Below are 25,235 nucleotides of genomic sequence, written 5' to 3'. Positions count from 1 at the left end.
TTTACCAAAAGGCAAAAAGCTGGGTCTCAGTCAACTGCTGAATGCATTAGAGTACAGAGGCTGTAGTCCTCAGGCCTCCCCCTCACTGCAAGGGTAACACAGGAAAGATAACCTCCCATCTTTGACACGCCAGCGGGGAGGAGGGGAAAGAACCTACACAAGTTGAGGAGCCCTTTTTCAGTTAAGCAAGTCAGTGGCCTTACGCACCATCCAAAACCACACACACACACAAACAAAACACCCTGCTGAAGGTATCACCACCTTAACCCAAACCTGGTACCTCTGCCACCAAGGCCAGCCTGGGCAAAGATTAACCTGTGGTCTTCGGCCTTGGGTTCACTGACAGGGCCACCTTGGAGAGACAGCAGGCCAACTTTCTGTTTGTTTTAAAGGAAATGCTTCCTGGCACATGTTTAGGACTCTGAACTCTGCACATGAAGCCACGTGGTTGGTGTTAATCTGGCTCCATCCACTCACGATCGGCCAAAGCAACCTATTTCCGAGGGCAGCCCCTGGCTGGGTAATCGACACCATCTCGTTCAAGTCACGCGGGCTCCCGCCGGATTCCCCGGAGCCTAGTGCCGCGTCCTCTCCACACAGCAATCCTCCCGCGCGAGGGGAGCGGGGGGGAAAGGGGTTGGGGGGTTTCAGAGGGGAGGGACTTACACCTGTGAGGCCAATGGCTCTAGCGGGTCAGGTGAAGTTCGAGGGCGCGGGACAGGAGGAGACTCCCGCCCTTCCAGTCAAGCCGGCTTTGCACTAGCAGAGTGCGCCGGCGCCCTACTTGCGGTGCCCACCTGTAGCCACAGCAAACAAACTTTCCTCCCCTTCTGGGTTGGAAGAATCCGGTGCCTTACGCCACCCCCTGGCCCAAGCCGGCGGCGACCCGGAGCTCCGCGGACTCCTCACCTGATACCCCTAAAATCCCAACCTGGTCTGTCCCAGAGCGCAATCCCCGCACTGCCCGCGCACCCCGTTTGGGTATGCGGAGTGGAGGGTCTGGGTTGCCAGCTGGATATTAGGAATTGGGGGGCGGGAGGAGCGGGGGGACGCGATTCACTGCCCTTTGCAACTCCAGCTCCCAACTTTGCCAGCCGCGCAGTTGCTGCCTTCCAATTTCCTCTGCGCCGCGCAACCGGCTCCCTCGGCTTCTCCAACGCCGTCCTCGGGGAGGGAGCTCCCCAAGGCCAGCAGGAACCCCGCGCGCCCGGCGCACTTACAGCCATAGCGGGGTCTCTGCAGCGACGGCAGCTCTTCGTGTGGCATCCTGCGCGTCTCCGGGGGCCCGCCCGGGGCGCGCCCCCCGCGGCTACCCTCGCTGGCCAGGCTCGCGGGCTCTGCGCCCCGCCGGCGCGCTCGGATCCCGCCTCTCGCCGATTTCCCCTAGCCGCCCGAAGATCTGCGACCCACTCCCTCGGTGCTCTCTCGCCAGAGCCAGCCACGGCCGCCGCGCGCTGACACTGAAGTAAAAGTGAACTCTCCTCCCTCGCTCCCTGGCCGGTCGCCGCCGCCTCCCGCAGCAGGTTTCCTTTCTCCTCCAGCCAGGCCCCGTTATTCACCGCGGTGGGAGCGCGCGCCGAGACGCAGCGACCCCTACCGCGTGTCGGGCGCAGCGCCCAGGCCGCGTGGACCCGCCCCTTCTCCCCCGGGGGAGAGGGAAGGGGCCGAGAGGGACGCTGGGCCGGGACCCCCTGCAGCTGGGGCCCCCGCACAGCTGGTGGCCTGGGGGTGGCGGCCACCCCGCCTTATTTCTCGCTTCTGGAGAGTTTCGAGGGTGGAAGTGAACCAACGCGGAGAAGTGCAAGAAAAACCGCAGAAGTCACAGGGAGCCCTTCGTGTCCGGGGTGTTGCTCAGTTACTGAGGGACAAACAGCGCGGTTCCTTTTCCTCTGGGGAGATTTCACGTTGACTTTTGTTCTTCTTCTTCGTCTTTTTGGTTTTGTTTTTTTTTGTTTTTTTTTTTTTTTTGCTTCGAAAGTTGCTTCTGTCACTTTTTGTCTACAAAATAACAGGGTTCCCCTTATGACAAGAAACTGAGTGTGTGTGTGCTGGAGGAACAAGATAACCCAAGGCAACCACTCAAAACACAACTGCGAGTCATCCCCCTCCCTCCGATCACCTTGTGCCCGCCCCCGCCCCAGTGTGCAGAGCCTTCTCTCAAGCCCAGCTGGGGTCGCAAGCCACAGAAACCTTTTCCGGCTAAGCTTTTAAGGAAATTAAACTGCATGTGGCTGTTTTGAAATCGGGGTTTTCATGCGGTCGCCAGGAGCTATTTTTCTCTTTGTGTCTCAGCGTGATAAAATCTGGAGGGAATGCGGGACGCTTCCGTACCTGTGCCCTCACCTATTTGACAATTGTGGAATGTGTGGGTGACCCGATAACAGGAAAAACAAACTGAGGGAGGGCGATAAGAAATTATTTAGAGCCGGGCGCGGCGGCTCACGCCTGTAATCCCAGCACTTTGTGAAGCCGAGGCACAAGGATCCCTTGAGCCCAAGAGTTCCAGACCAGCCTGGGCAACATAGCGAGACCCCGTCTCTCCAAAAAATGAAAAAATAATATTAGCCGTATTAGCCGGGCGTGGTGGTTGCGCCTGCAGTCCCAAGCTACTCAGGAAGCTGAGGTGGGAGGATTGCTTGAGCCCGAGAGGACAAGGCTGCTGTGGGTTGTGATTGCACCAGTGCACTCCAGCCTGGGTGAGAGTGCAAGACCCTCGGAGGCGGTGGGGGGATGGAAATTATTTCGCTGAGGAAATGGTGGCATAGTGACACTAATCATTTTTTATTATGCAAGGATACAGAGGATGAGCAGCTGTTTTCCATTTCATATAGGAGACGCAGTCCTTCTCAAACTTGTTGAAACTCACATTCTTGGGCCCCACCCTCAGAATTTCCGACTCAATGGGTCTGGGCTGGTGCTCATGAATTTGCATTTCTAATTTCTAGCATACTGCCAGGTGATGCTGACACTGCAGAGCGTGCTTAGGGTGGCTCTGTGAGTGGTAGATGCTCACAGGGACGTAAACTGTACACAGGGAACTCTCAATTCAGACGGGATAGCAAAATATTTTTTTTTTTTCCCTGATGGCATTAGATTCTCACCTGTTTGGAATGGGATGAATGGAGTTTTCCTTTCTTAAAAAGCAGATGCCTCTCAGTCTAAGAACAATTCAGAGGCGAAATGGCCACATTTGAGGCTCGGCACCCTGTCAATTGATATTCACCCAAAGGAGAAATGTGGAAGGGGATTTTCGTGCATGTCAGGAGATGCTGAATTAAATGATGTCTAAAGTTCATTCCATTTCTGTTGTTGCATTTGTCAAGTGTTAACAATTAAGTATTTACACATAACAATTTTCGTATGAGTGTATGACTTAGAGCCCAAATAAATGAGTAGTCTATATATTTAGAGGTGGGTGAAAAAATCACTCTGAACTAAAATGGTCCAGGAAGGTGACAGGGTTTGAAAGTGTGGCTTGAAGTGGAAGTGTGGTAAAAGCTGGATGGAGAGCATCCAAGGGAAAGAAACAATGAGGTGGAGCACAAGGTTGGGTTGGAGCTGGATTGGTTGGACTGGATTGGAGCTATGAAGTTGTCATCAGGTTGTGGAGGGCCCTGAGTGTCTGGCTAAGAGGACCGGAGATTATCGTAGAAACATTCAAGAGATCTTAAAGGTTTTGAGTATGGAAGCTGCAGAATGCAAGGGAGTTTAGGGAAGGAGAATATTGGAGCAGGTCATAGGATAGGTTGGGATGGGACAACTTGGAGATGTTGACGCCCCGTGGAAGGTGTTTGGACAGAGATTGAAGAGAGAGGTAAGAAGAGCCTCAATGAGGCTGATATCAGTAAGGGAGATGAAGGGGGTGTTTTAATATACTCAAGTTGGTGCCATCAACATGTATAGATATTATACACACTAACAAGTAGATTAAGTAAAGTAAATATCTGTTAATCGTAGAAAGTGAAGGTTAAAGCGTAAATAGGTGATTGGGAGGGCAGTAGTTCTAAGTTCATGTTCTAGCTGGTCAGCTCTTTGAAGAATCTGAGGTGGCTTCAAGGCCCTGTCGTGGGTCATGTTTTTATGAAGAACTTAAAACACTAAGACGAAATTGGAAAGGCAAATGCTCTTGTTATTTTGCAAGTGCTAGCATTAATCATGGGCATTTTGGTCTGCACTCATTGGGTAATAACAATACTGTCTCACAGGCCACTTCACCTCAGCATCTCAGAAAAGAAATTTGTCTGCAGAATGCTGGACTATTTTCTCTTAGGATTTGATACTGGAGAATATTCAAATAGGTACAAGGCAATGCGTCAGCTTACTTTGCCATCTGATTGTGCTTGCAATAATATTAGAAACAAAAATGAAGGCCATCTAGTGAAAAAAAGTTTTCAAGAAAGCAAGGTTTTTTGTTTAATGTAAAACAAAAAACAACACTAATAAACTACTAGACATGCTGAAACAATTTTTAAGCAATATTATTTTAAAAAATTTTGTTTTTAAGGCCCATCTGTTTTCTTTTGACAAGTTGAAATAAAGGTGTTTGGGAAAATGCAATTTTTAAAATAACAGATTATATCAAGAGCATCGAAAGGGAAAAAAAGTATGTCTCAGGAAAAATCTTAGCACACTTTAATATTATATTTGCCTTTGAGATGACTTGGTTATTTTCCAATAATATCACATTATTGATCAATTTTACATGCATACCCAAAATAGTGACTGTCGCCAGAAATGAGGAATGAGGAAATCATAGGAAAGAAATTATTCAAGCCTTTTTCAAAGTACTGGGAGCACTTGGGCTATTAAAATTTTCTAACTTGCTCCCATTTCCAGAAAAAGAGAGATACTGAAAAGAAATAGAAAGTACGCTTTACTGCAAAGGAGATTCCTATGTCTAAAAAGAAAACTGTTACAGTTCAACTTCAAATTTACAAAAAAATTAAAAAGAATCAGAAATGAATGAAACAATCAGTGTTTGCATTTTTAGTAGGGATGGGGTTTCACCATGTTGGCCAGGCTGGTCTCGAACTCCTGACCTCAAGTAATCCACCTGTGTCTGTCTCCCAAAGTACTGGGATTACAGGCATGAGCCACCATGCCAGGCAGAATTTGAGCTTCTTGACAACTGGAACTTGGTCTAATTCATCATTGCTATGTGTCCAGGATGTGTAGCAATGCCTGGCATGTAGTAGCTGCTCAATTATTTTGTTGCAATCATGAATTTACTATGATAAATTATATGCACCAGTCACTATACTAGAAATAGTTGTTACTTTCATTCTGGTAACAACTCTGGGAAGAAGATAGAGATATCCTTATTTAACGGTAAAGCAACAGACTCATAGAGACTGGTAGTATATGGCAGAGCTGGGTTTATCTGAGTCCACACAGTTTCCCCAACAGAAACTGATAAATTGAACTACAGTTTTCAACATTTTTGCCTTTTACCAAATACATGTTGTCTTTTCCTAGGTGAACACTAAAGGACGTACTACAAATGACCCCAAGTTACCATCATCTATTTGCCAAAATAGACCCTGGGGTCCATTTTGTATCCAGGCAATAGTTCTGATTATAGTTTTATTGCTAATCCCTTGTAGTTCTTTATTGATCTTTATGCATGAATGAGACAAAATCTGAATGGTGCTTACTAAAGGGCTCTCTGCCATATACCTGTAAAGTTGTTCTGAATCAATGTTTTAAAATCATTTATGCTTTCCCATTGACCATACTCCAAGTATACTTTATTTTAATCTTGGATTGATCTATCTTTGGCAGTAGCTTATTGTCCTAGCTTTAATCTTCCCTGCCTGACTCATTCCCTTCTAGAAGATTCTGTATTAATTGATTGATGACAAACTTCTAAGTGACCTACAAGAGCTTGGATATTTTGAATAAAGCTTCACGATTTATCAGGGAATGAAAATGAAAGCACCCGTTAGGTGCCAAAAATGTTTAACAAGTGTGGGGAATCGGGAACTCTCATGCAGTGTTAAGGGGGACGTAACTTTGAGCAACCATTTCGAGGAATAAGTTGGTCAACTCTAGTTAAAGTAAAGATGTACATTTCATGAAACCTGGCAACTTCACATCTATTAAGGTGCTCTAGTGAAGCCCCCACATACAGGAGGACATGTACAAGGATGTTCACTCCAGAGAAAAACGAAACAACTTAAATGGCCTGTTGTGGCAGGATGGATGGGCAGATGTCGTGGTATAGAAAAATAAGAGAAGGTCAGGCATGGTGGCTCATGCCTGCAATCCCAGCACTTTGGGAGGCTGAGGCGGGTGGATCACTTGAGGTCAGGAGTTCAAGATCCTCCCTGACTAATATGGTGAAACCCCATCTCTACTAAAAATATAAAACTTAGCCGAGCATAGTGGCAGGCACCTGTAATTCCAGCTACTTGGGAGGCTGAGGCAGGAGGATCACTTGAACCTGGGAAGTGGAGGTTGCAGTGAGCCGAGGTCACACCACTGCACTCCAGCCTCAGTGACAGAGTGAGACTCCATCTCAAAAAAATTAAATAAAATAAAGATAGAGAATGATAAATACAATGTTATACCATATATGTACAATTATAAACACATGAAATAATAGCACATAATATATGTTGGGTTAGGTGCATATAGTAAAAGTATAAAAAACATGTACAGGAAGAACATACCAATTTCAGAATAGAAATAATCTCTGAGAAATTAGGGAAGAAAATGGAAGCCAAAGATGTAGACAAGGAACATCAAATATATCTAACATTTAATTTCCTTTTTAAAAGCCTGAGGAAATATGACATTTGTTATATTCAGGGAGTATGTACATAAGTATTTGATGTTTTATCCTCTATGTCTTTCTTTTGTTTGTGATGCTTCTCAAAACTTTTTTTTTTTAAGGAACAAGTATTCTGTTAATATATTCAAAATAAAAGTAATGTCTTAGTTTGTTGGTTTACCACTTTTTAAAGTTCAGATTTGTTAAGTTTTCTCGATAGAGGCAAATCTATAGATTTTGAAATCTATTATTTCAAAACAAGGCCACAGTGAGATGTTGGTGGTGGCAATATGAATATGCAAACATGTATGTCTTTCTAGGAAGGTGCTCATGATTTATTGAAAGAGTTGTAGCTTCTACCCTAAAACTCAGCTGCTTCCTAGGGGGCTGCTAAGAACCACCTGCTGATGACCAGGATCTCGATTTTGGGATTGGTTAGGGACTCCTAATCCTCCTGTTCACACTTACCAAGGAATAGCTCTTCATGGATGAATGAATGAAGAGTTGACCGTATGTCTGGCCTATTGTTGAAGCAGAAATTGCCACGCTATCATAAAGTACTACTTATGCATTTTGGTGGATCCTCCTTCATTATAAAGTCTGGGCCAGGCATGGTGGCTCACACCTGTAATCCCAGACTTTGGGAGGCCAAGGTGGAAGATCACTTGAGGCCTGGAATTTGGGACCAGCCTGGACAACATAGCAAGACCCCATTCTGTAAAGGAAAAAAGGAAAAAAAATATAAAAATAGAATCAAGTTTTTCTGTTTGTTTTGTTTTGTTTTGCTACCCAGCTCCTAATGCTCAGTTACTGTTTGTTAAGAGTTAACTTCACATCTGGATCTGGTCAGCCCCTGGCCAAGTGCAAAAGCCAATAGTGAACCAAACAATATCACGGCAAGGGAGGCAGACATCACCAAAGACTGCATTTTGTCAGACCATAAATAAAACTGCCACCCCAAACTCCACAGACGAAACCAGAATTGTTCAATTCCATCTTGCTCTTCATCTACTAAAACACGTCTTTCCTCTGATTTCCATACCCTGTTAATATACACATTTTCAGTCACTTAGTTTCAAAACCTCAATCATTTTGCATTCCTTTGGAATCATTCCTTAGCATCCAGTCAGTCCCTCAGCCTTGGTGATTTTTTTGTTCCTATCACTCTCCTTTGCTGATGTCTCTTCTTTCTTCTTGGCGCCCATCATCACCCACCACTACTCTGATTCAAGCTCTCACACCATCTTACACCTGGACTGCTGCAAGGGTGATTTCTGTGCTGTTTCTTTCCTTCTTGCAATTTAGTTTGCTTGCTTCCTCCTCTGAATTCCTCTATCAAATACCATACAGTGTTATTGTGAGAAAAAAAAAGTAGCTCATAGCAGGCTGAATTCTGTGAGGTATGCAAGCCCAGAGAGACATGAGTATGGGACTTCATGCCCCCTTCCATGCCTGGGGGCAATTGTTTAAAGTCATTTTAAAGGCTGGGCGTGGTGGCTCACGCCTGTAATCCCAGCACTTTGGGTGGCCAAGGCCGGTGGATTGCCTGAGGTCAGGAGTTCAAGATCAGCCTGGCCAACATGGCAAAACCCTGTCTCTATTAAAAATACAAAAATTAGCTGGGTGTGGTGGCGGGTGCCTGTAATCCCAGCTACTCAGGAGGCTGAGGCAGGAGAATCGCTTGAACCAGGGAGCTGGAGGTTGTGGTGAGCCGAGATCGCGCCATTGCACTCCAGCCTGGGCAAGAAGAGTAAAACTCCGTCTCTAAATAAATAAATAAATAAATAGTCATTTTATTCCTGACAGCTGCTTCACCCATTATCTTCACGTTCCTGAAATTTGTGATACAAAGAGCAACGTATAGCCAATCAATAGCTTATGTTATTTTAATGTAATTCTTAGTAAACAACTTATGAACTAACTGCCTCTTCCTTTAAAAGCCTACTTATAACTGCTGCTAATTGGGGTGTATATTCAGGGCAACTTGAGTCTATGCTTCTGGGTTGAAATCCTCAAGCTTAGTCCAAATAAACTCTCTGCTTATATTAATTCTGCCTCAGCTTTTTCCTTTTTCTTTTTTGAGATAGGGTCTCACTCCGTTGCCCTGGCATGATCACGACTCACTGAAGGCTTGACTTCCAGGCTCAGGTGATTCTCCTGCCTCAGCCTCCTGCATAACTGGAACTACAGGTGTGTGCCATCACACATGGCTAATTTTTCTTTTTTCTTTTTTTTTTTTTTGTAGTTTTTTATGGAGATGGGGTTTCACCATGTTGCCCAGGCTGGTCTCAAACTCCTGGGCTCAAGTGATCCTCCTGCCTCAACCTCCCAAAGTGCTGGAATTACAGGCATGAGCCACGGTGCCTGGTCAGCTTCTTCCTTTTAGGTCAGCAATTAGTACTCTCCTTTTGTTAGCAGTGGCAAATTTGAATGGGATTGCAGCAACCTCAATTCTTGCCTCCTCAGAGGAAAGAATTCGACTGAGGGGCATAAGGCAGAGGGAGAGATCGAGGCAAGTTTTAGAGCAGGAGTGAAAGTTTATTAAAAAGTTTTAGAGTAGGAAAGGAAATATGTAAAGTACACTTGGAAGAAGGGCAAGCAGACAACTTGAGAGATTCAAGTGCATGATTTGACCTTTGACTTGGGATTTTATACATTGACATGCTTTCAGGGGGTCGCATCCCTTCTCCCATGATTCTTCCCTTGGGGTTGGCTGTCCACATGCACAGTGGCCTGTCAACATTTGGGAGGGGCTGCAGGCACGGTGTGTTTACTGCAATTGTGCACAGGCTCACTTGAGGCGTTTTTCCCTTACCAATTGAGTGTTCCTAAAAGAAGGTCGTATACCAATTAACTGCCATTTTGCCTCAGAGTGCACATGCTTGAGCCCACTCACCCAACTCCTGAGATCTTATTGGGATGCTGCTGATCACCAGCTTCAGGGTTTTTCTATCTCTTGGGAGACTCCCTTGGCTGCAACCGATTATTATTTTAGAGAGACAGTGTAACAACTGCCTGAGCATCACCTGATGATCACCTGACATTCTTGGTGTGGGTTGGGGGGCCCTCTCCTGCCTGCTCATGTCTGACTAACTACCTACTATAAGACTTTGAGTCTTTAGCAAATACTACCTTAGTTGCTATTTATGTTTCTATTGTTTCCTTGATTAAAAAAAAAAAGTCAGCATCTGGGGTTCCCAGATTTTGCTTTTATTTCCCACAATAGTAGACAAAACAAGTAACCTCAAAGGGTCCAAAACAGCAGTGCAGGAAGTTATAGCTGTTGAAAGCCTGCTGATTTTCTGTTGGCCTAAAAGAAAGAAGCAGAGGCAAAGATTAATATAGATAGTTTATTTGGGCCAGTAAATTTATTCGAGGACTGCAGCTTGGGACACGCTTCCGAGTTGCCTTGGGGAGTGCTCCAAAAAACAAAAGAGAAGCTCAAGGTTTTTTTTGTTTTGTTTTTGAGATGGAGTCTTGCTCTGTCCCCCAGACTGGAGCGCAGTAGTGCGATCTCGGCTCACTGCAAGCTGCGCCTTCTGGATTCACACCATTCTCCTGCCTCAACCTCTCTAGTAGCTGGGACTACAGATGCCTGCCACCATGCCCAGCTAATTTTTTGTATTTTTAGTAGAGACAGGGTTTCACCGTGTTAGCCAGGATGGTTTCAATCTACTGACCTTGTGATCTGCCCGCCTTGGCCTCCCAAAGTGCTGGGATTACAGGCGTGAGCCACCGCACCCGGCCAAGAAGCTCAAGTTTTTAAAGAAAAAGATGAATCAGGAAAGGGAGTGATTATAAAAGTTGTTCTTTCAGAATTCTCGTGGTTTACGGAACTAACATTGGTTAGTGATGGGCAATACATTGTAGAACTATACAATGTGTGGCATTTTTTATGGCTACTTCGTATCAGTCTGGAGCCCACAAAGCATATTTGGTTCAAGAGATAATTATGTAGCTCAAGGAAGAGAGAGACATGAATGCTGTTACTTTTTTTTTTTTTTTTTTTGACAGTTTCACTCTGTTGCCCAGGCTGGAGTACAGTGGTGCCAGCTTGGCTCACTACACCCTCCGCCTCCCTGGTTCAAGCGATTCTCCTGTCTCAGTCTCCCAGGTAGCTGGGATTATAGGCGCTCACCACCACACCCGGCTAATTTTTGTATGATTAGTAGAGATGGGATTTCTCTATGTTGGCCAGGCTGGTCTCGAGCTCCTGGCCTCAAGTGATCTGCCTGCCTTGGCCTCCCAAAGTGCTGGGATTACAGGCGTGAGCCACCGAGCCAGCCCTGTTATATTTTAAATGCCTCTCTGGGCCTGATAATTTAAAGGGGCTCACCTCCCTCAGATTAAAAAGTTTTCTTTCTCACTTCCATGAGTAGAATTCTAAACTAGTATTTTCTTCCTAGAGACTTTGAGAGTCTAAAAATTGAGAGGTTTCAGGGAGTTGGAATTTGAACTTTATCCAGCATTCAGTAGGTGCTCGACAAAGATTTGACACTAAATAGATCTGTTTGGGTCTTGACAAGTGGCGACATCAACAAAAAGTATCTGCCTACTGCATACAGAGATTATCATTTGATCTGTGTAGTTTCTAAGCCAGGTTCAGTAAAAACAATTGGTTTGAGAAAGCTTTTCATTTTCCTAAGATGTCTGTATTCGAAGCATGTTGGAGTGTTGGAGTTTTTATTTTATCAGGTCACATGTTAGATATTTTTGTGAGAATTTAATACGAACAAAGACCACATACACAGCACAAGGGTGGTGGTGTTGAGATGTAAGACAGGAACCTCCCGCTGATCAGCCACAAGGCCCTTTAGGGGAGGGGAGGCACCACAGTCACCAGAGAAACCCTGCTTCATGTTCTGTCATTTTAAACTCTTCATGTTTATTGTTAGATTTCACATAAGCCTCAGCCCTTCTTCTCACTCAAAGTTCTACATGTTGTGTAGCAGTGTTGCTTTAAGTTATCTTAAAACAAATTTAAACTGTTTTCACTTTGAGAGTGAATTCTACAATTTCTTGAAAGAACTGAAGACATTCTGGGAGGTAAAATTAAACAAAATAGAACAGATTTAGTCATTTATCTTTTGCAAACTGTAATGCTAACTTGAAGTGTCCTTTAAAATGTGGTATATTAAGCTCTTCTGAATGTCTGGAGTTTATATCTTCTCAGGAAACCAGTTAATTAGTATAAACTTGAGGCCTAGAACAATGCTTCATTGAAACTATGAGGTGTGCTTTAAAAACAGACAAAAAAAGCATTATGCTGGAAATGCTGTAGAAAGGATTCATATGCCAGGTGACAGTTCCCTTTCAATAAGCAATAAAATCTTTGATCGATATTTTGAAAATCTGGTCCCAATTCATATGCAATTCCTTTTCAGGATCACCAAAGATTTAGCTGGCATTTAGCATTCCCATGGGCCCAGAAAACCCACGCTCCCTTTGATTTTCTTTCTAATTTTTACACTAACTTATTTGTAAACAAATTACAAATAATGCTTTTAAATGTTAACATGGCTTTTATATTCTTTATTCTGTTTTCAGCATTATTAGAAATTTTTCTTATTCTGCTGCTTAAGTTAGTGCTTCTCTGTGGTAATATAATTTTCAATAGAATTCAACTAACACTGACTATCCACTCTGTTTCAAGGTCTTGGTCAGTTTTAGAGTAATTAGCCTCAAAAATTAGGTTTTGGATTTTTTTTTTTTTTTTGAGACGGAGTCTCGCTCTGTCATCCAGGCTAGAGTGCAGTGGCATGATCTTGGCTCACTGCAACCTCTGCCTCCTGGGTTCAAGCGATTCTCCTGCCTTAGCCTCCCGAGTAGCTGGGATTACAGGTGTGTGCCACCATCCCTGGGTAATTTTTTTTTTTTTTAGTAGAGACGGGGTTTCACCATCTTGACCAGGCTGATCTTGAACTCCTGACCTCGTGATCCACCTGCCTTGGCCTCCCAAAGTGGTGGGATTATAGGCGTGAGCCATCACACCCAGCCAGGTTTTGGATTTTTAAATGAGATATACTGGCATGCTTGGCTATGTACAGTGATTTATTCCCTAAATAAATACAAGTTTACAATTGAATTCAGCTATGTATAGTGACAGCCTGGCATTAACGCTACAAAGTTAGTGTTATGAAATCTAGAAGATTTCTGAGGAACAAAAGTGTTTTATGCTACCAAAAAATTGCATATAGGGTAGTGGTGGTGGAGTGAGAGATAATGTGTATGATTTTTCAAGAACTCTTCCAAAATGGTTCAGTGATTGCATAACCCTTTTCAATGCATGCTCCATTTATTTATTTTTCTATTTCTTTCTTTCTTTATTTTTGGAGACAGAGTCTCGCTCTGTCACCCAGGCTGGAGAGCAGTGGCCCGATCTTGGCTCACTGCAACCTCTGCCTCCCAGGTTAAAGCGAGACCAGCCTGGCCAACATAGCAAAATCCCTATGGCCACGTGCCACCATGCCCAGCTAAATTTTGTACTTTTAGTGGAGACAGGGTTTCACCATATTGGCCAGGCTGGTCTCGAACTCCTGACCTCAGGTGATCTGCCTACCTTGGCCTCCCAAAGTGCTGGGATTACAGGCGTGAGCCACCAAGCCCGGCCTTTTTTTTTTTTTGAGACTGAGTCTTGCTCTGTGGCCCAGGCTGGGGTGCAAAGGCATGATCTCGGCTCCCAAGTAGCTGAGACTACAGGTGCACACCACCATGCCTGGCTAATTTTTTGTATTTTCGGCAGAGATGGGGATAACGTGACCTCAGGTTATCCACCTACCTCGGCCTCCCAAAATTCTAGGGTTACAGGCGTGAGCCACCGCGCGCAGCCAATGCATGGTACCTTGAAACCCACTTCCTCCCTTGAGCAAAATAACCCACAATAGGAACAACGGTTTTCTTTGTTTTTGCTGTCTTCTTATTCCTTGTTACAGATCTTGAGACAAAGCAATTAAAGGTTTTGTTTTGTATATATTTTTGTAATTAGATTTTGGAATTCCACTTGTGTTTACTTCTCTTGCTTTAGTTGCTTAGTCCCTTTAAAAATCCCTAGGATCTAGTGGCCAAGGACCACAAAGGGAAGAGGTCACATTCCTCCTTTCTTCCTCCCTATAATCTCATACTGGGAGGAACTGATTCTTCTCCTGTGATGCCTCTAACAGGCTTCATTGATACCTCAGATGAAAGAGTCCTATTTTAGGAACATTTTTTGAAAGTAAGAAAGAAAGAGGAAAAGGAAAGACGCAAGCTTGAGCTGGTATATAAAATGACTACTTCCAGGTAATTTTCATTTCTTCCCCAAAGAGTTCTCAGGTCTCCATGACTTGGAATGCTTCATAAGTCATCTGTTGTTCTGATTTTACAGCTCTTCAGTTTTATTCATGGCTCTATACCCAGTGCCTTGCATATAGTAGGCACCCAGTGAATATTTTTCAAATCAATGAATAGTTAACTCTAATCTCAGTTCTCTCCAAAATTAACTTATTGGTTTGTCTTCTATCACTTGCCTCAAACTGAAATTTATTTCTTGCCTCTCTCAGGCTCTTTGATACCAGCAAGGCCTGTTGGAAAGGAGAAGTTCAATAATTTCCCATATTTGGCTAATGACCAAACAGCATCTGGTTGTAACAGAGAGCTAATTCTTGGTACCTGACCTATATATGTATTAATGATCACCTACATTGCAGTATCTCCACCCAGAAAATAACAGAGCAGCAGCATAGCAGAATGATATAAAATATTAGCATGGAATCTGGAAAGAGAATCAACTCTGATGTCTCTGAGAAGGAAAAACACTGTGTAACCTCTTGGAAAGTCTCTCACAGGCTTTCAGTGCAAGCATGTTCATTCCAGAGAGCCAGAAAGTTCAACTTCAAGAAAGAGTCTCATGAAACAAAATGCAACATGAATTTAACTTTCCTAGGTGCCACCCATTGTGGACAGGCTCCCATGGTGAGAATGATTCCAGCTAGAGAAAAACCCTGTGGCAACAGCAGGTCATACCGCAGTGGCTCCAGCGCCAGGAACTCTGACAGGGGGCAAAAGTTATGTCAACATGTTCTGGTAGCTCCACTGTCTAGGGACCCGGGAGAAAGAGAGTGGTTAGGAAAAACACAAGCTGCATAAATAAAGGGAGAAGAATGACAGGTTATGCCTAAGAATAGAAAAAGAAATATCTCAAGGGTCATAGTGTAGTTGAGCTGAGTCTATGGTCAACAAAACATCATCGCGGGGCACAGCTGAATGCTGGCTTCTACTCACTCGCTGAGAAGAAGCGAGCTTTGACAGAATTCACTGTGCCATGTCATTTCACTATTTAGCAGTTTCTGAATTTTTTTTTTTTTTTTTTTTTGAGATGGAATCTCTCTCTGTCACCGAGACTAGAGTGCAGTGGTGCGATCTTGGCTCACTGCAACCGCCGCCTCCCAGGTTCAAACGATTGTCCTACCTCAACCTCTGGAGTAGCTGGGACTACAGGCGTGCACCACCACACCCAGCTGATTTTTGTATTTTTAGTAGAGACAGGGTTTCACCACGTTGACCAGGCTGGTCTTGAATTCCTGACCTCAGGTGATATGCCTGCCTTGGCCTCCCAAAGTGCTGGGATCATAGGCATGAACCACGGCGCCCAGCCAGTTTCTGAATTATTAATGCAAAGCTCTGAGAGGGGAGTGGTCAAAATGATAACCTGTTGAGAGAAGAGAAGCAGCCACGAGGGGGTTGGAGAGGATCATTCAGCTTTTTCGCATGGAAGCGGGAGAGCTAAATGCTTACTTATGGAGAAGAGACGAGTTGGCAACAATGGTGAAATTGTGGTTTGAAATGAGCATGTGCGAAAAGCAGCTCCAATACAACAAATGAAACTTGAGTGAAGCATGGAAGGACTTGCTGTACCCTCTGCCCAGAGCCAATTCTGGAGTGGCTGGGGGTTCACTGTGCAGGCAGCCTTTTAGCCTTCCTACTGTTTGACTCTAATTCTCATGCGTCCTGTATTTAAGCAGTCGCTGGACTTTTTCTGTTGTTCAGTTTTTCTACATATTGAACAATTTATTGGATATCTCCTTTGTGTGGGATAATATGCTAAGTGTTGAGTAGGATTAGAGAGAAAGATTAACCACGGGATGTGCCCTATAGCAGCTTATGGTTCTATTTTACTCTTGCTCTAATTTATATGCAAATCTGTGAATCCAAAAGGCCAGCTGGGTCTACATAACCTAGGCAAAATAATAGGAGTGGGATGGAGAAAGTTATTCTATTCACCTAGGCAATATTGTGGTGAATATTCATAAAAACACTGTTTACATGTTTAGTTTCACAAAAAAAAGTGATTCAAAATGAAATAGCTGAATGAAGAAGGTAATAGAAGGGAATTTGAGAAGAAAAAAGGCTCATTTTTATAATATAAAATATTACCTATCTTAACAAAAAAAATTTATGTTCTTTTTACTGTTGAGCTCCGGTATAGCTATAATTCTCTAGTTAAGATATCAAGGTGGTATTCACAACAGAGAAATATGTCTTGTTCTAAAAGTTGTCTGTCCAGTCTTGCTGCTTTTAAATATTGTAGAGAATCACTCTGTGAGTGAGTTCAAATACTTCCTTTTATGCTGAATAAATAAACTTGCTTCCAAGTCAGGATGAGCAGATAGCTCCAAACACTAAACACTTACTGGCATTCAGTATGAGAGTCCTGGATGTGATCCCTCTAATCAGTGGGCTAGTACATCCTGAACCTTTAAGGTGAGGGAAAAAAAAGTGTATGAATTCATTATGTAGTTTTTTGTACAAATGACATTCATTTGTATATAATATTCTGCACCTTTTCATGTATATTATACACATACCTTGCTGTCGCTTAGTAAAATCACCAAACTTTTTACTCAATTAAGTGTCTTGGGGGCATCTACAGTTCACCTGGAGGGCATCAGGTCACCAGACGTGGAATGGAGATCAAAGAATTTTAATATCACCCAGTTCACACTTTTGCCAGAGGGCATTCCTGAGTTCTGCCAAGGGCAGTGCTCTAAGTAGAAAGCTGTTAGAGATCCTCAGCCCAGAGGCTTAGGTCTATCCTGCTAATTTTATGGGGAAGAAACTAAGGCATAAGATGCAAAGATGATGGCTGCCGGGTGGTGCAGTGACTCACGCCTGTTATCCCAGCACTTTGGGAGGCTGAGGCAGGAGGATCACCTGAGGTCAGGAGTTCGAGACCAGCCTGGCCAACATGGTGAAACCCCATCTCTACTAAAAATACAAAAATTAGCCAGGCATGGTGGCAGGTGCCTGTAATCCCAGCTACTCAGGAGGCTGAGACAGGGAGAATTGCTTCAACCCTGGGAAGTGGAGGTTGCAGTGAGCCAAGATCACGCTACTGCACTCCAGCCCGGGCAACAGAGTGAGATACCATCTCAAAAAAAAAAAAAAAAAAAGAAGAAGAAGAGCCTCATGCTGGTTAAATAGTTTTGTTATGCATTAGAGCTGGAAAGAGTGGTAGTTCAGCTGCTCCTGAAAGCAGATATGGCCTTGGGCAGAATCCTCCTTTACTATTCCCTAGAAGCCAAATGGGGCCCACAGGTACTTCATTTAGCTTGTACTGTTCAGGCCTACAGTGTTTCAAAATAAATTAGTTGCCAACATCTAAAAAAAAAAAAAAAAGAAAGAAATTGGTTTCCACCTTCTCTTAAAAAACAAAACAAAACAAAACAAAAATCTGGCAAGTGGGGCCCACAATTCCATGCAACAGGAATGGGCTGAGAGTGGTCAGTGACTGCCTCCTTAAATGGGACACAAACCCCAGTTCAGTCAAAGCCCCAGGACCTGCTGCCTAGGGTTGTGTGCCCTGCCTGTCTCTGCCTTGCTTTTCCCACCCAAAGCCTATGGAGCACTAGTGCTTTGGGGTTTCCTAACTCACCTCTGCTATTAGACTTAGCTCTGCAGAGTCTGGCTCTATCTCTCGAAGCCCTGATTTCTTCTAGGTGGCATCCAGCAAACTGGACAGTCTTATAGGTCTGTTAAGCCAGAGCTGGAATCTTATACCCTCAGTTGGCACTTGTTCATTTTCACAGGGGTTTTTTGGACCTACTGGAAAGCGTATGGTAGTGCAAATTTTAGACCGGAAGACAGGCCTGGTGGAGAGAGATTTTGGTACAGGTGAATCTGCCTATTGTGTCAGCCTGGGAGATGTGCTAGCCTTTTTGAGAGTGGGGTGAGCCAGATATTTGAGCCTGTAGTTAGGTGGTAGGGTGGTGGAGCAGTTACACCCCTCACCAGAGCTATTCCAGAAAAAGAGAAAGCTCTCCCACCCCCATATCCACCTCCAGTGGTTTCCCTCAAGGAAATTCCCTCAGGGCCTGGAGCTTCCACAGGCCTCTTTCTGGGGCCAGCCCAGCCATGACTGGGGCTGGAGCACACGAAGAAGTGCATCACAGCCACCTGATGCCAATGGGGCGCCAGGCCTTCCGGCAAAGTGCCAGGCATTGCTTAGGGAAAGATGTGGCTCCTCCCTCGCCTTGCAGGTACAGCTCCAAGGTCAAACAAGACTGGAGGGCAGCCAAGGCCAGGACGTTGGCATGAGATCCTGCAGCCCAGAAAGGGAGAAAACCTGTTTACTTATAATTCTGCCTGTGCCATTCCCCTTCCCCATAACTGGCCCTATATTCATTCTGCACTGTGATCATCAGCCTGACAGATGATTTTGTTCCTAGCTTTTCCTTTTCTCTCTCTCCAAACTTATAGAGCTGTCTGGTTTTAGAAAGTGCTTAACAAGACTTGTGTTTAAACAAGAACCCTGAGAACCTTAAGGAATGATAGGCAGAGGTCAGCAACCTTCCTCAGAGTCTCCTAGTTTTTCTTCACAGCCCAGAAGATACTGTCTGAATTTAGAAAAATCTGACTATGATCTGAGAGACTGCAAGAGAGGGAAAAGAGAGAGAGAGAACAGAATTTGGAAAAAAAAGTCCATAAAGCTTGTGTGTTATTGGCAAACATTTCTTATTTCCCTCAGTTTGCAGGAATCTGAGACTCAAGGAGCTGAATTTCAAGTCACACCAAATATTATCACCGTCTACACACATGGACTCACAGTCCAGATTTAGATCCTGGGGTAAAAGATGATAGGAAAATTAAGATCATACATTTAATGCTTAAAATCAAATGGTTGACTTGCTTAAGTGTAAATTTTTTTTTTTTTTTTTTTGAGACAGGGTGTCACTCTGTAACCCAGGCTGGAGTGCAGTGTTGCAATCTCAGCTCACTGCAACCTGCAACCTCCACCTCCTGGGCTCAAGTGATCCTCCCGCCTCAGCCCCTTAAGTTGCTGGGATTACAGACATGAGCCACCACACTAGGCTAATTTTTGTATTTCTTGCAGAGACTGGGTTTCCCAGGCTGGTCTAGAACTCCAGAGGTCAAGCGATCCACCCGCCTCGGCCTTCCAAAGTGCTAGGATTACAGGTGCGAGCCACTGTGCCTGGCCAAATGTAAACAATTTGATTCTACAGGGAAATTATTCAGTATCAAAAATTATTTTCATGAAGTCAAAGTGTATTTGTTGGGTGACTGATATGTGTACAACCTCGGCTCTAAAGGAGTTCATAGCCTAACTGGTTTAAGAAGGCATGGGTTTTGGAAAGGATTCATAACAGTACAAATCTCTGCCAAACAAGGTCAGAAAGTTATAGGAGTAAGGACATTTCTTGGCAAAAAGCAGTGCTGTGAGTTTTTACAACAAAGAGTTAGATCCATCAGGGAAGGTTTTGCTGAATTTGATGTTTAAAATGTTTTACCTCTGCATAATGGCAACCCAGTGTCTGGCCAGACAGACAGGACTATATCATATTTCCAGCATCTAGAACAGGCCTGACACATAGCAGAAGCACTCAATTTACAATTGTTGAATGAGTGAGTGAATGAATGAATTCTGGTAAAGAAAGCAGGTAGATTCCATCATTTTTAGGCATTCCTTCTAGGCACACTTCCCAGCAGAACCAATGATTATGAAAGTCAAAAGCTTCCCGTGCCCTTCACCAAGACATCATTCTAGGAGATGCTTCTCTGCCAGGGGAAGTCTGGAGTAGCAACTTTGCTACTTACAGCTATGTGACCCTGGGCAGGCTCCTGCACCCTTTGAGCCATTGTGCCATCATCGTCAAGTAATACCCACTTGACAGGGTTGTGGGAACATCAAAGGAGATAATGTAGGCAAAGCTTTTAGCAAAGTGCTAAGAGGGGCATAATAAGTGGAAACTGCTTTCTAATTCGACTTATTCTAATTGGCATAAAAGAAAAGTGCACATTTACCTGCCCTAAGAGGCTTTTTAATTTAAAAAAATTTTATTTGGTCCTTCTCTCTCCAACTTAAAAAAAAATTTTGTTCACTGGTAAAAGAAATTTTCTAGGAAAACACTAATGAAAAGCTGGGGGGGTGGTGGGGGGGGGAAGGAGAGCCACTACTGAGGCACTTAGGGGCCTCTTACTGAGGGTTCTTCCCTCTCCAGAACAGGCCAAGTGCTTCCTGACCACACCACTACATTGGAGCAGGCAGGGTTAAACCTGGTGGTGAATTTGAGCAGCATTTCCTTGGCAGCAGCGTGACAAGCCACGGTACCTTGCAAACTGCATTTCTCCCCACCTTCTGCTATGCTGGAAGCCGGCCACTCCAGCGTCTTGTTTTTGTGTATGAGCTTATCAGTAAAAAGAGATTTAAATGAACAGGCTCAAAATGGTACCTCTACAAAGTCCAGGTCAAATGTCATGTACACAACTCCTCCTCCACAAACTCTACCATCAAGCCAGTTTGCTCCCTGACAAAGTCAGAGCACCTAGAAATTCTGCAACAACACAAGATGAAATGGCTCACTGGAGGGGACCAAGAGGGGATGACTTCCAGGGAGCTCCCTGGCCTGAGTGGCAGGGCTGCCCTCCGGCATTGCAGATGGAGGCAGGAAGCTGAGGGGGCTCTGCTGGGTAGGCAGACACTCAGCCCCCAGGAAAACCAATCTGGGGTGGTCTGAGGAATGCAGTCAGAACCTTCTGTCCCTGTCTCCTGACAGCTCCTGAACCACATAAGTCAGATGATTTTATATATATATATATGCATGCACATATAAAATATACTACATATAATCATATATGTTCAAACATATATGTATACATTTAAAAATTAAATACATGAATAAAAGGAATGCATATGCTTACATTACTTTAGTGAGAGAGTGGAATAGAACATTTATTGGGTAAGAGGAACACTGTTAGTTAGACACTCAGTTGAGGCAGTGAGGATGGTGGTTAAAATTCAAATCTTGGTTCCACCCTTTGCTAGCTGTGAGTGATTTAAATCTCTCAAAGCATCTATTTCCTCACTGTACACAGCCGACAATAATAATACCCAGTTCATAAGGGTGTGGTAAGGATTAAATGAAATAACATGTGGTAAACCCTTAGCAAGCTTAACATTGTAAGCACTCAAGAAATAGCAGCAGTTATTAGTAATAACAACTCTTATCACTGTAAGGTAGGTATAGTCATTTTGGGTTCTCCAGAGAAACAAAACTAATAGAGGATGCGTGTGTGTGCATGTGTGTGTGTGTGTGTGTGTGTCTATGGAGAGAGAGAAAGAGAGAGAGAGATTTATTTTAAGGAATTGGCTCATGTGTGGAGCCTGGCAAGTTCAAAATCTGTGGAGTAGGACAGCAGGCTAGAGACCCAGGGAAGAACTGACGCTGGTATCCAGTCCGAAGGCCCATCTACTGGCAGAATGCCTTCTTGCTGGGGTAAGTGGAGAGAACAGTCTTTTGTTCTATTTAAGCCTTCAAATGATTGTATGAAGCCTGTCCATATTATGGACAACAATCTTCTTCACTTGAAGTTCACCAATTTAAATGTTAATCTCATCTAAAAACATCCTCACAGAAACATTCAGAATAATATTTGACCAAATATCTGGGTGCTGTGGCCCAACCAAATTGACGCATAAAATTAACCAGCACAGGAGACTTGATTAGCCCCGTTTCAAAGATGAGAAGCCTGAGGCTCCAAGAGATTAGACAGTTGCCCAGGGTTTACAGTCAAAAAGCTGGAATTCAAAGCCTGGCATAAACCAGCACCTGGCCAGTGCTTGGCCCACAGCTGACTTAGGGTTTCCTGAATGTAATCCTTTCTTTTTTCTTTTCTTTTCTTTTTTTTTTTTTGAGATGGAGTCTCTCTGTGTTCCCCAGGCTGGAGTGCAGTGGCACGATCCTGGCTCACTGTAACCTCCACTTCCCAGGTTCAAGTGATTCTCCTGCCTCAGCCTCTGGAGTAGCTGGGACTACAGGAGGGTGCCACCATGCCTGGCTAACTTTTTGTGTACTTTTAGTAGAGACAGGGTTTCACCATGTTGGCCAGGCTGGTCTCAAACCCCTGAGCTCAGGTGATTCGCCTGCCTTGGCCTTTCAAAGTGCCAGGATTACAGGCGTGAACCACTGCGCCTGGCGTGCTAAATGTATTTCTAGCTCTAGTCTCAGCTCTTACCCCTAAACTGCATCCTGGAGGAAGGGGGCACAGGAGATTATTATTATTTTTTTTTTATTGAGGACAAAGGAAGCAGGGGAAAGAAAGAAGTGGGAGAAAGTTTGGTATGTGATGACTTTGGGGGTCATCAGCTGAGTGGTGGGGTGAGGTGAAGCAGAGTCGGAGGACCTGAGCAGTGGCTCCTGGTGGGGCCCTGGAGAGACACAAGGGGGACAAAGAGACAAAGACAGATGTATGGCCTGATCTCAGGCACCATGTTCTGGGCTGCTTTAGACCAGGTGGTAGAGACAACTTCTGACTATGTGAGGCATTGTTGTGAGACCTGGAACAAAAAAAGCTGAGTAGGGAAGGTATCCCAGGCTAGTGCCACAGAAAACCACAAAAGCTGGAGTATGGAAGGGCTGGGGCAGACTGAAGCTGGAGGCAGGAGCAGCATGTGCAGGACTCTGGGTTTCCTTCTAAAGAGACAGGAAGGCCTGGTGTGGTGTCTCATGCCTGTAATCCCAGCACTTTGGGAGGCCGAGGCGGTGGATCACCTGAGGTCAGGAGTTAAAGACTAGCCTGGCCAACATGGTGAAACCCCATCTCTACTAAAAATACAAAAACTGGCCAGGTGTGATGGTGGGTGGTTGTAACCTCTGCTACTTGGGAGGCTGAGGCAGGAGAATTGCTTGAACTGGGAAGCAGGAGGTTGCAGTGAGCTGAAATTGCGCCACTGCACTCCAGCCTGGGTGACAGAGTGAGACTTCGTCTAGAAATAAATAAATAAAGAGATGGGAAGCCACTGGAGGGTTTAGGTAGGATTGACATTATCTGGCTGCCCCACTTGCTAGCGGATTGAGTGATCAGACCCTTTGGGTTTCTTTCTTTCTTTTTTTTTGAGACAAAGTTTCACTCTTGTTGCCCAGACTGGAGTGCAATGGCGCCATCTCAGCTCACTGCAACCTCCGCCTCCCAGTTTCAAGCAATTCTCTTGCCTCAGCCTCCCAAATAGCTGGGATTACAGGCATGCACCACCACGCCCGGCTAATTTTTTGTATTTTTAGTAGAGACGAGATTTCACCATGTTGGCCAGGCTGGTTTAGAACTCCTGACCTCAGGTGATCCACCTGCCTAGGCCTCCCAAAGTGCTGGGATTACAGGCATGAGCCACTGCACCCAGACTGACCCTTTGGATTTCATAGCTAGCCAAGGATCCAGGCTTACAGTGGCTGCCTGGAGTCTGAAAACAGGCTCTTCTCAAATAAATACTTGAAAAGTTATTAAACTTAAAGTCTAAATATTCAATAAGGAAGCCCAGCCTTGGGATTTCCTCTGTCTTCTGCTGCCCACACCTCTGTGGGTCTGGGCCCAATTACTGGGCAGTGTGTGAGAGGACAGCTGGCCTGGAGCAAATGACACAGGTTCAAGATAGAAATGTTTGACCTTCTGCTGAGGGAGAGCCTTAGAGCTAAGACTGGCACTGTCCTTTCAAACCCAAAAATAAACAAACAAAGAGAGAGCTGCATGCCTGCAGTGAAGGAACCTAAAAGTCGAATTGATTTAAATAGTAATTGATCATCTCATGATGTTTGAGAGAGGCTTCAGGGAGCAAAAATGAGATAAATACGTGTGAGGGAGACATAGAGACACCCAAAGAGATTAGAGTTCACTGTGGACAGATGGAGTCTTGCTTATCTGTAAGGAACCACAGGCTTTAGTTCTTCAAACCCAGCATTATAGGGGGAAAGAGATTCAACAGCAAAATAAGAACATGTCTGTAAATGACAAGATTCAAGTTAAAAGAGGCCACCAATGGGGTATGTTATACAGGGGAAAGCCCATGGATTCCTGAGTGAGGAGACTGAGCTTGAGCTGCCCCCGACACCTCCTTTTGGGGTGATCTTAGGTGAACTGTGAAACACACAAGAGCTCCATTTTCCTTGACTATAAATTTCCCTCTGACTCCCAGAGCCACAGCCAGGTAGAGTGTGTGAAAGCCGAGGCAGGCGCTGTGCTCCTGGCTTGAAATGCAAGCATCCTGAAGGGGCATGGAGAAGCAGCCTTCCCTCTCCTCTTCATGAAGACCACCCCCAGGAGGAGGCCGGGCGGGCTCCTGGGGTGGGAGGGGGCTGCTTTATGAGGATGCCTCAGTGTGAGTGGCTGAGGTCAGGGGTGAAAAAATCCCAGTTGATAAAATCCTCAATGGGCAGGACTCAAGTTCTGCAGATACGAGATTGAGAGGATTTTCCTTTGAAACATAGCAAAGGTCAGTTGAAGGCAGATTAAAAACAAACATTACTCTGACAAAAGGGGTGGTGAGCATATGGATTTCACTAAGATACATCCCACTTCCTTTTATGGGAATGACATGTAATAAAATTATATATGTTATGAGATTCTTCTTGGTGATGTATAACTGTTATGGTGGGAAATTCTAGAAAACCATCTGAGGACTCAGTGATCAAATAAAACCTGGGCTAGCAGATCCCAGTTCAGAGCCCCATAAAAAATATCTTGGAACCATGTATAGCATTGGACGACTGGCAGAGGGCTTTGCCCTGTGATATCTTATCAGATCTTTATAATAACTCCATGAACAGATTTTACTCTCCTTATTTTATAGAAGGATAAATAAAAGCTCAGAGAAGTGCCCAAAATTGCCTGTTAAATGTAGAGCCATTTCTAAAGTCTAATTTCATTACTACAAATTCTGAGCCCCGTTCATCAGACCAGCATTAGAAATACAGATTCTATGGTCCCAAATCCCAGTGATTCTGGTTATTGGTGGGGCCAGGATTTTATTTTTTGTTGTTGTTGTTGTTTTTTTTTTTTTTTTTTTAAAGTCCTAGGCAGCTTGGGGAATTCCTGCGTGAGATCACACAGGTTATTTATTATCTTTGATTTTAAAATGAGGAGTAAATTGGAAATAGGAATTTAATAGACAGCTAAAAAAAGGAGCTCTGTGGCTTTGAAA

General features: G+C 44.4%; 1 protein-coding gene across 4 annotated transcripts in view, besides 6 other annotated features; it reads right to left on the bottom strand.

Annotated features, from left to right (window-relative positions):
• IQGAP2 (IQ motif containing GTPase activating protein 2) overlaps positions 1-1,527 on the bottom strand; it is a 304,848-nt gene extending 303,321 nt beyond the window's left edge. For 2 of the 4 annotated variants that reach the window (NM_006633.5, XM_017008960.2), the window contains exon 1: positions 1,221-1,527. In NM_006633.5, the coding sequence (NP_006624.3) occupies positions 1,221-1,266 (46 nt within the window). In that variant the 5' untranslated portion in view covers positions 1,267-1,527. Of the gene's footprint in view, positions 1-280; positions 489-1,220 lie in introns of those variants that run through there. The other 2 variants (XM_047416641.1, XM_005248410.4) reach the window with 2 other exon arrangements.
• Positions 1,062-1,562: an enhancer, noted in NCBI's record as "H3K27ac hESC enhancer chr5:75699075-75699575 (GRCh37/hg19 assembly coordinates)". NCBI's record gives its function as "activates a minimal SCP1, AML or CMV promoter by ChIP-STARR-seq in primed H9 embryonic stem cells {active_cell/tissue: H9 hESC(primed)}" and the evidence as "EXISTENCE:reporter gene assay evidence [ECO:0000049][PMID:30033119]".
• Positions 1,062-1,845: a biological region, named in NCBI's record as "H3K27ac hESC enhancer GRCh37_chr5:75699075-75699575".
• Positions 1,216-1,325: a silencer, noted in NCBI's record as "silent region_16104". NCBI's record gives its function as "represses an Ori minimal core promoter by ATAC-STARR-seq in GM12878 lymphoblastoid cells {active_cell/tissue: GM12878}" and the evidence as "EXISTENCE:reporter gene assay evidence [ECO:0000049][PMID:35858748]".
• Positions 1,496-1,845: a silencer, noted in NCBI's record as "silent region_16103". NCBI's record gives its function as "represses an Ori minimal core promoter by ATAC-STARR-seq in GM12878 lymphoblastoid cells {active_cell/tissue: GM12878}" and the evidence as "EXISTENCE:reporter gene assay evidence [ECO:0000049][PMID:35858748]".
• Positions 9,062-9,562: an enhancer, noted in NCBI's record as "H3K4me1 hESC enhancer chr5:75691075-75691575 (GRCh37/hg19 assembly coordinates)". NCBI's record gives its function as "activates a minimal SCP1, AML or CMV promoter by ChIP-STARR-seq in primed H9 embryonic stem cells {active_cell/tissue: H9 hESC(primed)}" and the evidence as "EXISTENCE:reporter gene assay evidence [ECO:0000049][PMID:30033119]".
• Positions 9,563-10,063: an enhancer, noted in NCBI's record as "H3K4me1 hESC enhancer chr5:75690574-75691074 (GRCh37/hg19 assembly coordinates)". NCBI's record gives its function as "activates a minimal SCP1, AML or CMV promoter by ChIP-STARR-seq in primed H9 embryonic stem cells {active_cell/tissue: H9 hESC(primed)}" and the evidence as "EXISTENCE:reporter gene assay evidence [ECO:0000049][PMID:30033119]".

Source organism: Homo sapiens, chromosome 5 (assembly GCF_000001405.40).
Source record: "Homo sapiens chromosome 5, GRCh38.p14 Primary Assembly".
NCBI classification, from domain to species: Eukaryota; Metazoa; Chordata; class Mammalia; order Primates; family Hominidae; genus Homo; species Homo sapiens.
The sequence above is the reverse complement of the archived record's forward strand: the minus strand, read 5'-3'. Positions and strand labels throughout refer to the sequence as shown.